Source organism: Homo sapiens, unplaced genomic scaffold, assembly GCF_000001405.40.
Source record: "Homo sapiens unplaced genomic scaffold, GRCh38.p14 Primary Assembly HSCHRUN_RANDOM_CTG2".
NCBI classification, from domain to species: Eukaryota; Metazoa; Chordata; class Mammalia; order Primates; family Hominidae; genus Homo; species Homo sapiens.
In genome coordinates this window covers 135,759-148,549 of record NT_167208.1, presented here as the reverse complement: position 1 = coordinate 148,549, position 12,791 = coordinate 135,759, and the positions used below count along the sequence as shown (strand labels likewise).

The following is a 12,791-nucleotide window of genomic DNA, read 5'->3' as shown; positions in this document are numbered from 1 at the left end:
GTTGGGACAGGACTTCCTTCCTCTAATTTAGTTTTTACTGCTGGATACCTGATGGGCTACTTACTATATCCGGTGTCTCATAGGGCAAATTGTACTTGGAGACAATGTGAATATTGGCTCTGTTATACTCATCAGTCTGAGCCAATATAAACATTCTATGAGTAATTCTGAATACTATCAGTCAGCTTGTCTTCAGCCTTTAAATTTAGTAATAATAGCAAAAATAGTCAACATTTATTGAGAACTATGTTCCAGACTTTACTAAGAACTTTATCTGCAACATTTTATTTAATGCTCATCACCAATCTGTGAGATACTATTGTTTTGCTCACTTTTACATAAAGGAAGTAGGGCTTAAAGAGGCAAAGTAACTTGACTATGATTACATAGCTAATAAATTTTGGAAAATGCCATGATTTAAAACTGTGATTGTAAAAATTATAGCAAAACATCAGACCCTCTTATTATTTACCTCCCCTCTTTCTTTGGAGGTGGTCAATCTGTACATATATACCATAAATTTTTCTCCTATCAAAATGGCTTCATAACATTTGATAACAATTAAGGAAATCTAAACAATGTATGGACTTTAATTTAATATCATGTGGCAATATTGGTTTGTTAGTCTCAAAAAAGTTACCATACCAGTACAAGAAGTTACTGAGAGAGGAAACTGAGTGTGGGGTATGGGAGAACACTCTGTGTTATAGTCAATTTTCTAGCAATCTAAAGCTATTTTAAAATTAAAATTCTATCTTAAAAAATGACTATATAGGCTGGGTGCAGTGGCTCACATGTGTAATCCCAGCACTTTGGGAGGCCGAGGCGGGCAAATCACCAGGTCAGGAGATCGAGACCATCATGGCTAGCACGGTGAAACCCTGTCTCTACTAAAAATACAAAAAAGTAGCCAGGCGTGGTGGTGGGTGCCTGTAGTCCCAGCTACTCAGGAGGCTGAGCAGGAGAATGGCATGAACCCAGGAAGCGGAGCTTGCAGCAAGCTAAGATCACACCACTGCACTCCAGCCTGGGTGACAGAGTGAGACTCTGTCTCAAAAAAAAAAGAAAATGACTGTTTATGCATACCCAGCCGGTGTTTAAAACAATCCACCCATACAACTAACAGACATCTTCTATCACAATTTTATGATGGTTTTGCTAAAGAGTGGCAAAATATACTCAGAAACCAAATTAGCTGATTTCGTTAAACCCATTATTCTTAATGTCAGAAGCCCTTACTCCATGTTTTCAAAATTCATGATATTGTAAGGATTGTGAAAAAATTCGAAAGCAAATTAAGGTAGTCAAAGGAAAAGTGTTTACAAAAATGTTACTAGCACAACAATCCATCTACAAAAATGTGAACATATTTTAATAACCTTGAACATGGCAAGAAGAGTTGCAATATAAAAAGAGATTTACATGTACAAAAGCTGAGGGAAAAAGTTTCAGCTTCAAGCATTAACGTTTTAGTTCATAAATCTGAAGGAAAATAAAGAGAAAATAAAGGCATTAAGAGATATGAAACAATGTAAAAATGAATATTTCTTTTATGAATCCTTGTGAATATATGACAGTATACAAGCTACAGAAAACTAGTTTACTGGGAGGATCACGAGGTCAGGAGATCTAGACCATCCTGGCTAACACGGCGAAACCCTCTTCTCTACTAAAAAATACAAAAAATTAGCCAGGAGTGGTGGCGGGCACCTGTAGTCCCAGCTACTAGTGGGGCTGAGGCAGGAGAATGGTGTGAACCCGGGAGTCAGAGGTTGCGGTGAGCCGAGATCGCGCCACTGCACTCCAGCCTGGGCGACAGAGAGAGACTCGGTCTCAAAAAAAAAAAAAAAAAGAAAGAAAAAAGAAAACAGATAAAGGACAAGCAAATAGAGAGGGGGAAAGCAGCCACCACCGTAATTTGAACAGTAAAACTGAGAGGAACTTTGAAGTGGAAAGGAGTGTAGTCTTTATTTCATCCTTGGGGATTTGTCAGGGCTGGAGGATGCACACAACAAATAAATAATTTAGAGTGCTCTGAAATATGGTCAGACAGCATATGCCTTGCAGTTATGTCTACACTTTGTGCTTGATCCAAGCATACATATTATTGGGGCAATATCTGACTGATACCTTTTAAACACACCACACACACACACACACACACACACACACACACAATGTTTTATAGAAAATATATCTGGGCCTGGCTACATTTCCAGAGTGCCCCATTTCTCTTGGTTCAAATTTCCGTCTAGAAATCAAGTTAAATCTTTGGGATGACACTAATGTTGTAAAGGTGCTGCATAAAAATAAGATTTTTTAAAGTAGATAAACCATTCAATAATTTTCTACAGCAGGTGAATGACAGAAGCATTGACCTGAAATTTCACAATGGACTCCAGTGAGAATTCCCTGCAATCATGTCTCTTTTCCCATTTGTTAAGTACAACCACAGTACTACAACCACAGCCACAACTACACCAACACGATTTCCTCACATGATCAGCTGTACTTTCCTGCTCTAGTCCAAGATCTTCCAGCCATGCCTTCCTACAGCACTCTACAGCAAGGGTCAGCAAACATTTTCTAAAATGAGCCAGATAGTCAGGACTGGGAAAGGCTTTGATAAATGAGAGAGAACGAGTGACTACACAGCCGGGAGGAGTGTGAAAACAGAAAAAGGACAAGGCCGGGCGTGGTGGCTCACGCCTGTAATCCCAGAACTTTGGGAGGCCGAGGCGGGTGAATCACGAGGTCAGGAGATTGAGACCATCCTGGCTAACACAGTGAAACCCCTGTCTCTACTAAAAATATAAAAAATTAGTCAGGTGTGGTGGCAGGCGCCTGTAGTCCCAGCTACTCGGGAGGCTGAGGCAGGAGAATGGCGTGAACCCGGGAGGCAGAGCTTGCAGTGAGCCGAGATCCCACCACTGCACTCCAGCCTGGGCCACAGAGAGAGACTCCGTCTCAAAAAAAAAAAGAAAAAAGAAGAAAGAAAACAGATAAAGGACAAGCAAATAGAGAGGGGGAAAGCAGCCACCACCGTAATTCAAGTTTTATGTGCCGTAATGTCGCTCTCAACTGCTCACCTCTGCTAATGTGGAGCAAAAGCAGCAATAGGCAATATGTAATGAGAGATATGGCTGTCTTCTTCAGTGAAACTTAATAAAAAGTGGCAGCAGGCTAGATTTGGCTTGTGGGCTATAGTTTGTCAAACTATGATGGAACGTTTAAAATTTCCCTGGTTACTTTAACTGCAAAAGTGAGTCTTGCATGTTATATTTTACCTCTTCCAGCAGGGCATACAGAGAGGAGCTAGTCGGAACACTTCTTTTTGACATTTATATACTGAGAAGTATACCAGTGTGTTACTACAGTACATCATGGAGAGTATTCTATCCTTTCCTTTCAGTTCTCATCTTTTGTCCTAGATTAATAGAGAACATCAAGTACTGTTTTCGGACAGAAAAACTAACAAGCCACCTAAACCCAGTCTTTCTGGCCTCTTAACATTAATGTTGAACTTTCCTTATGCACGGTCAACAAAGATGCTTCAACACTTCTGTAAGCTTCTCCAATCAGACATTGTGTTTCATTTTATCATCTGCAAAAAGCAGGGGAAAGAGTTTCCAATTTTGTATTGGTTATCAACTGCAGCATAACAAACCACCCCACAACTCAGAAAAATAATCATTTATCCTCTCAGCTCAAGTATCTGGAAACATCTAAGACCAAGTTGATCTAGGTTGAAACTAGTTGGGCTTCACTGAACTTGCACTTCTGCAGTTTACTGACTGGAGGGAGTTTTATTATTTACTGGCTTGCATTGGGCAAATTATCTAACGAGGATCTGCACCACCTTTCTTCAATCTTCCTGGAAACAAGAGACTAGCTGAGATATGTTTGTCTCATGGTAGTGAAAGAGGCACAAATCAAGTGTAATTATGCAAACTCCATTTAAGCCTTTGCTTTTGTAATGCCTGCCAAAGTTCCACTGGTCAAAGCAAGCCCCAGGAGTAAACCTAGGTCACCAAGCCATAGTAGAAAGACACTACACGTGGAGCGGATTCAGAGAAGTGTGAACATTTTAGTCAGATGTGCAACCTCTCTAAGACTGGCACAAAGGTGAGTGTTAGTAAAAGCCCAGCTTAATTCCAGCTACCTGATGTTCAGTTCAGTTTTTCAGTTGTAAAGAAGAGAAGATGATGCCTACCACAGAAGATCATTTGTGCAATTACAAGGATTAAATAAGAATATGAGAAATGTGTGAAGTGCCTAATACAAAGTTAATTGGTAAATGTTCTATATTTTTCATATACTCTTGGGCTTGAAAACAGATTAATTCTAAGCTTTCTAATATTATTCTGTCATAATTGCATAGTTTAGTGGGCCTATCAGCATGTATAAGCAAATGTTAATCAGAGCCAGCCAAGGTTGTGTCTTTTGGATACCAGGAAAGAGTTACCGTGGCTCTTAGAGGGGAATTGATATGGAGTTTAGTAAAAAAATAAATTTTAGTTTGCTATCCAAAATATATGTTTTGTAAATAGAGCTAAGATTTGACTGGAAATTTGAGAAAGGTTGGACAATTAGTTATGTATATAAGAAACTGTGCTGAACCTGCCAAATTCTTTGAAGTGGGTCACAATGATTGAACAGAGAAGGTGCAAGTATGATATACAGGAATATCACATGACAAGATTTAGTGGGTAGGTGGTTATTGCCATTTGGTCTGTTTTGCTATTTATAACCAGTCTTAGGAGTTTTCTTTAAAACTCATGAAGAAATGAGAGTCTACACTAGCACACAATAATAATATAGATCGGTTGAAAGTAAAAGGAGGAAAAATGGTATGTTATGTAAACATTAATAAAAGAGGGCAGGAGTGTTATCTCAATACCAGCTAAAATTAATTTCAGAGCAAAGACAATTGGGAGAGACAGAGAAGGGCATCACGTAAGAAAAAAAGAGTCAGTTCACAAAAAAGATCTGGCAATCTTAAATGTATGTGCAACCAATAACAGAGCTACAAAATATGTGAAGCAAAATCTGATAGAACTGCAAGAATAAATAGACAAATCAACAATCATAATTGGAGACTTCAACAAGCATCTTTCAATAATTGGTAGAAAAACTAGATCTAAATACTATCAATGTTATATATAAAAAAAAAAAAACTCAACAACACCATCAAGCAACAGGATCTTACTGGCATTTATAAAGTGCTCCACCACTGGCTGGGTGCGGTGGGTGTAATCCCAGCATTTTGGGAGGCCAAGGCGAGTGGATCACCTGAGGTCAGGAGTTGACCAGCCTGGCCAACATGGCAAAACCCCATCTCTACTAAAAATACTAGAATTAAGGCTGGGCCCGGTGGCTCACGCCTGTGATCCCAGCATTTTGGGAGGCCGAGGCGGGCAGATCACCTGAGGTCAGGAGTTTGAGACCAGCCTCAATATGGAGAAACTCCATCTCTACTAAAAATACAAAATTAGCCCAGCATGGTGGTGCATGCCTGTAATCCCAGCTACTCGGGAGGCTGAGGCAGGAGAATCACTTGAACCTGGGAGGTGGAGGCTGTGGTGAGCTGAGATTGCACCATTGCACTCCAGTCTGGGCAACAAGAGTGAAACTCCGTCACAAAAAAAAAAAAAAAAAAAAAATACTAGAATTGGCCGGGCGTGGTGGTGCATGACTGTAATCCCAGCTACTCGGGAGGTTGAGGCAGGAGTATCGCTTGAACCCGGGAGGCAAAGGTTGCAGTAAGCCGAGATTGCGCCATTGCACTCCAACCTGGACAAAAGGGTGAGACTCTGCCTCAAAAAAAAAAAAAAAGAAGAAAAAAACGGGCTCCACCCCCTAGCAGCAGAATACAGCAGAACATTTAGGTACCCACAGAACATAAACCAAAATGGACTGTATCCTGGATTTTAACAAACATTAAGAATTTTTTAAAAACTGAAATCCTGTAGAATGTATCCTCCAGCCAAAATGGCATCAAATTAAAAATAAAAAAGTAAAATAACAGCAGAATCTTAAATACTTGAAAAATAAACAGCATACTTTTTTAGTTCTTTTTTTTACATTTTTATTTATTTTAACTTCTGGGGTAGATGTGAAGGATGTGCAGGTTTTTTACATAGGTAAATTTGTGCCATGGTGGTTTTCCCTACCTATCAACCCATCACCTCGGTTTAAGCCCAGCATGCATTAGAGATTTTTCCCGATGCTCTCCTCTCCCTCCCCCATCCACAGGCCCCAGTGTGTGTTGCTTACTTCCCTGTGTCCATGTGTTCTCATTGTTCAGCTCCTACTTATAAGTGAGAACGTTAGAAGTTTGGCTTTCTGTTTCTGCATTAGTTTCCTGAGGATAATGGCTTCCTGTTCCATCCATGTCCCTGCAATGGACATGATCTCCTTCATTTTTATGGCTGCATAGTATTCCATGTTGTATGGGTACTGCATTTTCTTCATCCAGTGTATTACCGATGGGCATTTAGGTTGATTCCATGTCTTTGCTATTGTGAATAGTGCTAAACAGCAAGCACACTTCTAAGGAGAACGTCTCAAGGGAAACAATTAAATATATTAAACTGAATAAAAATAAAAATACAACATATCAAACTTGATTTAACACAGTTGACATCAGTGCTGAGAGGAAAATGTATTTCACTAAATGTATATAATAGAAAAGTAGAAATCTCTCAAATAAAAATTCAAGCTATCACATCAAGAAAGTAGAAAATAGTAGCAAAATAAAATCAAAACAAATATAAGAAAGAATATAATAGGGATAAGAGCAGAAATAAATGAAACAGCCAAAAGAAAACAACAAAGAAAAGCAAAGAAATAAAGCTGGTTCTTTGAAAATATCTATAAAATTGACAAACCTTAACTAATAATGATAAAGAAAAAAGGGATGTCATAAATTACCAATTTCATGAATGAAATGGGCTATCCTTACAGACCTTGAAGACATGAAAATGATAAAGGAATGTCATGAACAACTCCACTCACATACATTTGACAACTTGGGGAAAATGGGCCAATTTCATGAAAAGCAGAAACCACCACAAAACTCACCCAATCTAAAATAGGTAATTTAATAGCCCTAAAATGTAAGGACATTTAATTTCTAATTTTAAAGACTCCTGAAGGAGAAATCTCCAGGACAAAATGGTTTTACTAAAGAATTTTATGTACTGCTTAAAGAATTGACACCAATACACACAATCTTTTCTGAAAATAGAGAATCTTTCCCAATTCATTTTATGAAGCTAACATTACTCTGATATCAAAATAGTACAAAAAAGTAAACTATAGCCCGGTAATTCTCTTGAACATGGATACACCAATTCTTAACAACATTAGCAGTAGCACTCAGCGATGTACACAAAGAATTACACATCATGTCCCAGTGACGTTTACTCCAGTGACTGCACACCTAGACATTCATCCCACTGAAATAAAAACTTTTTTTTTGCACTTGTAATTGGCTTCCCCTCTGCTTTTGTTGGCAAGAGCAGGTCGGTGTCCCAGGCTTAGAATCCATTTTTCTCTCTTTCTCTCCATCTGTCTCTCTGTCTCCGTCTCTGTCTTTGTCTCTCCCTCTCTCTCTCTTTTTTTGACAGAGCCTTGCTTTGTCGTCCAGGTTGCAGTGATGCGATCTCGGCTCACTGCAAGCTCCGCCTCCCGGGTTCACGCCATTCTCCTGCCTCCCGAGTAGCTGGGACTACAGGCGCCCACCACCATGCCCGCTAGTATTTTGTATTTTTAGTAGAGATGAGGTTTCACCGTGTTAGCCAGGATGGTCTTTATCTCCTGACCTTATGATCCGCCCGCCTCAGCCTCCCAAAGTGCTGGGATTACAGGCGTGAGCCACAGTGCCCGGCCAGAATGCATTTTTCCTCCCACACCAAAGCACCTGCAGTATGGGTGAAGCAGCTTGGAGCCTGGCTGCATAAGCCTGCACAGCAGGAGGGTCCCAGCAGGAGGGTCGAGGTGCCACTGCCTGGGTCCAGCTCACAGGCTACCAGGGAGGCTCCGATCTGGCTCCCTGGTGCTGGCAGTGTCCTGTTCCCAGGATCTGCATGTGGGGGTGCCTTCCTGCATCTCCCCATCAGTGGTAGGTGCTCCTCCCAGCCGCCTCTTTCAGGCCTGGAGACAGCGGCCTGCACCTCAACCCTACTGCATGCCAGTGAAGCGAAGCACCCCGGGCCAGAAGCCCCACAGCTGTTGGCCCTGGTTTGGACACCAGGCAGGGGGCACCACAGCAGGAGCTAGCAGCCCAGCCCCGATTCTGTGGCCCCGAGTGCCCCGTTGCTGATGGCCCTGTGTTCTGGGCACGGACCAAGGAGGAGCAGGTGTGGAAGGCGCCTCAGGCAGGCCCTGGGCTCCGTGGGCGTCTTGTGCTCGGAGATTTTGAGGCCATTTGCATCCAGCTTCGCCAACCAGAGCTCTAAGCTGCAGCGGCGGCCACCCACAACAGCACCACCACTAGTGTCTTGGGGGCTTTCTTCAGAGGAGGCTGTCAGCATCCTCGAGTTCCAGGCGCTCTAGCCCCAGTCCTGCTTCAAGAGGCTTTTTCCCACCACAGGCTTCTCCTCAGTGGCCAGAAAGCTGGGTCAACTCCCATGAACTTTGCCAGTAACGCAAGGCTGTCACTGACATTTGTGGCGCCAAGACTTGCGCACGCGGATTGCACACATCGGCCACTTCCTGCACCACGTGCAATGACGCGCGCACGCCTCACGCGCACGCCGCATAACGTCTGAGGCGCGCACGCCTCACGCGCGCCCCGCACGCGCATAACGGCTTGGCTTACCAGTAACGGGTGCGCTTCGCTTTGCGTTCCTCGCTTGGCCTTGCGTTCCTAGCTTGGCTTGGCGTTAGTCGCTTTGCCTGGTGTTTCTTGCTTGGATTGGCGTTTTCTCCCTCGCATTCCTTTGCTGGGCCTGACTTTTTCTCTGCTGGGTTTGGCATTCCCTTGACTGGGCTGGGTGTTTCCTTCGGAGGGGGGGGCTTGGCCTTTCCTGGGGTGGGCCTGGGGTCCCCCTGGTGGGCGTGGGCTTTCCCCGGGTGGGTGTGGGTTTTCCCTGGGTGGGGTGGGCTGGGCTCCCTTGCTGGGGTTGGCAAGTTTTGGCTGGGATTGACCTTTCTCTTCAAACAGATTGGAAACCCAAGGTTTCCTGCTAGTTGGTGAAACTGGTTGGTAGACGCGATCTGTTCGCTACTACCGGCCTCCCCTGGCTGTTAAAAGCAGATGGTGGCTGAGGTTTGTTCAATGCCCACTGCCTCTACTGTGAAGAAGCCATTTGATCTCAGGAGCAAGATGGGCAAGTGGTGCCACCACCGCTTCCCCTGCTGCAGGGGGAGCGGCAAGAGCAACATGGGCACTTCTGGAGACCACGACGACTCCTTTATGAAGATGCTCAGGAGCAAGATGGGCAAGTGTTGCCGCCACTGCTTCCCCTGCTGCAGGGGGAGCGGCACGAGCAACGTGGGCACTTCTGGAGACCATGAAAACTCCTTTATGAAGATGCTCAGGAGCAAGATGGGCAAGTGGTGCTGTCACTGCTTCCCCTGCTGCAGGGGGAGCAGCAAGAGCAACGTGGGCGCTTGGGGAGACTACGACCACAGCGCCTTCATGGAGCCGAGGTACCACGTCCGTCGAGAAGATCTGGACAAGCTCCACAGAGCTGCCTGGTGGGGTAAAGTCCCCAGAAAGGATCTCATCGTCATGCTCAGGGACACTGACATGAACAAGAGGGACAAGGAAAAGAGGTAACCGGGCCTGGGATGGGAGGAGGCGGGACATGGGGGGATGATGGGGACATACCCTCCTGGCGCAGGGAGGGAGGAGCCAGGCTTTCTCTTCCTCCGCAGGCACCACACCACCCTGGGTGTGGAAACCTCAGAGAGGTCAGGGCCCAGGTCCCTTTATAAACAGCGACACAAAAAATTTTAGCTGATTTCCAATCCAATTACAATTTCCCTTATAGAACACTAATAGACTGTTTTAAAGTGATTTAACTCGCAAAATTAAGTCGATGCAGCAGATTATTTTTAATGTACACATTTTAAAACAATGTTCTGTACACTATAGAAAGGTGTATATTGAGAACTAAGTCCCATAATATATCAACTTCTGGGCTAAATATCTTTCAAATAAAATCCAATATGGATTTTATATCGATGTACCCCTATGTAAATACGTTCTTTACTGAGTAACCTTAAAAGGAAACTGAAATGGGAAGTATGGTTTATATCTTTGAATAGGAAGGTTCGTTTTTCTTAAGATGTGAGCTTTTTCTGTGTTTATCACTTTTACGTAAGCCAAATAAAAATAGCAAAGTCTTAGTGTCTTTAAATTGCACATGATGTATTTTATCATTGTGATAAATTGGTTTTTTGTAACAGAATGGAAGAAGACTTGCTTTTCCAGATATCAAAATGTGCATGTGTTATTTCCACAAATTGTTTACTAACAGCTGAAAAGACATAAATGAACAGAACAGAATAGGAAATCCAGAAATACCCAAATATATGTAAGAATTTAGCACTTGATAATGGTGATGTTTCATATTGGTAAAACAAGGTGAATTATTCATAAATTAAATGCATGCTGCTTGGAGAAAACTACCTAGATTTTTATGTCACAAAAATAAGTTCCTGGAGTATAGATTAAAAATTTTAAAGATACAAACGGAGAAAAGTACCAGAAGAAAACACAAATGCCTATTTATATGTGAAAATATTTATTTATTTTTCTGAGACAGACTCTCACTCCATAGCCCAGGCTGGAGTGCAGTGGTGCAATATCAGCTCACTACAACCTCTGGTTCCTGGTTCAAGTAATTCTCTGCCTCAGCCTACCAAGTAGCTGGGATTACAGGCACCCACCACCATGCCTGGCTAATTTTTTGTGTTCTTAATCAAGACGGGATTTCACCATCTTTGCCAGGCTGGTCTTGAACTCCTGTCCTTGTGATCCACCCACCTCAGCCTCCCAAAGTGCTGAGATTACAGTCATGAGCCACTGAAACCGGCATATATATGCAGATATAATAAAATAAGCTCAATTTAAAATTGGGCAAGGTACTTTTTTGCATGTCTACCAGTGACCTGTGCACATAGGAAAACATAGCATTCCTGCTAAGAGAAGGAATTTAAGTTAGAAGAGGAATGAAAGACTATTTTCTGTTTAAGTTAGAAGAGGAATGAAAGGCCAGCCATGGTGGCTCATGCCTGTAATCCCAGCACTTTGGGAGGCCAAGGCAAGTGGATCACGAGGTCAGGAGTTTGATACTAGCCTGGCCAGCATGGTGAAACCCGTTTCTACTAAAAATACAAAGAATTAGCTGGGCATGGTGGCATGCACCTGTAATCCTAGCTACTCAGGAGGCTGAGGCAGGAGAATTGCTTGAACCAGGGAGACGGAGGTTGCAGTGAGCTGAGATTGCACCACTACACTCCAGCCTGGGTGATGGAGTGAGACTCCATCTCAAAAAAATAAATAAATAAAAATAAATAAATAAATATAAAGGAATGAAATACTGTTTTCTGTCCACAAAGTTTGTGAGGGTGAAGAACAGTGGTACTTATATACTTGCTGAAAGTTTAAGTTGCTGCGACTTTTCAAATAGAAACTTTGATGGTAAGAACCACATTTTTAAAATGTGTATGCCTTTTACCCATCTATTCCATTATACTGAAATATCTATATGAAACAGACACAGCTGTTTTTCTTAGTATTGCTTAAAATAGCCATGTATTGAGAAGAACTCATATAAAGATTTTATGAACAAATTTCAGTGCATCCATAGGATGGAATAATATGTAACCATTGAGGGTGTCAGTAGATACAGAGATATGTCGGCATGCAAAGATGTACTTTGCTATATCAAGTGAGAAAAAATCAGTTTGTTATACATATACACAAACAGAATCTGCTCTTGTGTTAGCTGGAAATATGTGGAAAATATAATCAAACTTATTTCTGGGGATTTGTAAGTGAAGTTTTTCCCTTTCTCTTATCTGTGATTTCTGCAATGAACATCTGAAAAGTTTTAGTTAAGTTTCATTAGTAATGAAATAATCCTTGGGAAGAGAAGGAATATGCTACTTGCATAGATACAAATAATTTCTGACATTCTATTATTTATTTTTATACCTGTGGATGGCTATCTTCTGTGAACTTTTACCCTCTTCAGAAGTAGAGGGCTTCTGTTTACCTCTTCTGGTAGATTTTATTGTATATACATTTTATTATATATAGATTAATGTGTAAATAGTATGGATTAATTATTTTAGTTTAGTTATATATTTATGAAAACTAAAATAGCAAATATAAATGATCGTTACTATCGCAAATGTATTGCTCTACTCAACAGGAGTTTTCTTTTAAAAATATTGAACTTCCAACCTATGTTTATCCATTCTTTCAATCCGTTTAGTCATCAAACATAAGCCAGACACCTATTATATGGCAGGCATATTCTGCTATCTCTCAGGTTCCTTCCACCTTTGAAAACTTCATGTTTACCTGCTGCGCCTGAGCAAGCTGAGAGAATCAAAATTGGGGCATTAGGACTTAATCTCAATTGAAGCTTTTCCTCCCTCCTTTCAAACAAAAGCATTTCTGAAGGTGACAAATAGTAAAAGATAACCCTTAACTGCCCTTTTGAAAATTTATAAGGCTTGGGTAAAGACTGTTTTAGCTGTTTTAAGAACTTAAATGTGGTACATAAACAGCATGGAATACTATGTAGCCATAAAAGAAAGAACAAGAG

The 12,791-nt window shown here is 41.8% G+C and overlaps 1 protein-coding gene across 4 annotated transcripts in view; it reads left to right on the top strand.

The window, feature by feature from the left end:
• The first annotated feature begins 9,210 nt into the window (after positions 1-9,210).
• The window catches only part of LOC100288966 (POTE ankyrin domain family member D-like), a 35,531-nt gene continuing 31,950 nt past the window's right edge, over positions 9,211-12,791 (top strand). For all 4 annotated transcript variants that reach the window (NM_001257362.3, XM_006709930.4, XM_011545656.3 and 1 more), the window contains exon 1: positions 9,211-9,783. In NM_001257362.3, coding sequence (NP_001244291.1) covers positions 9,263-9,783 — 521 coding nt within the window. In that variant the 5' untranslated portion in view covers positions 9,211-9,262. The remainder of the gene's footprint in view (positions 9,784-12,791) is intronic.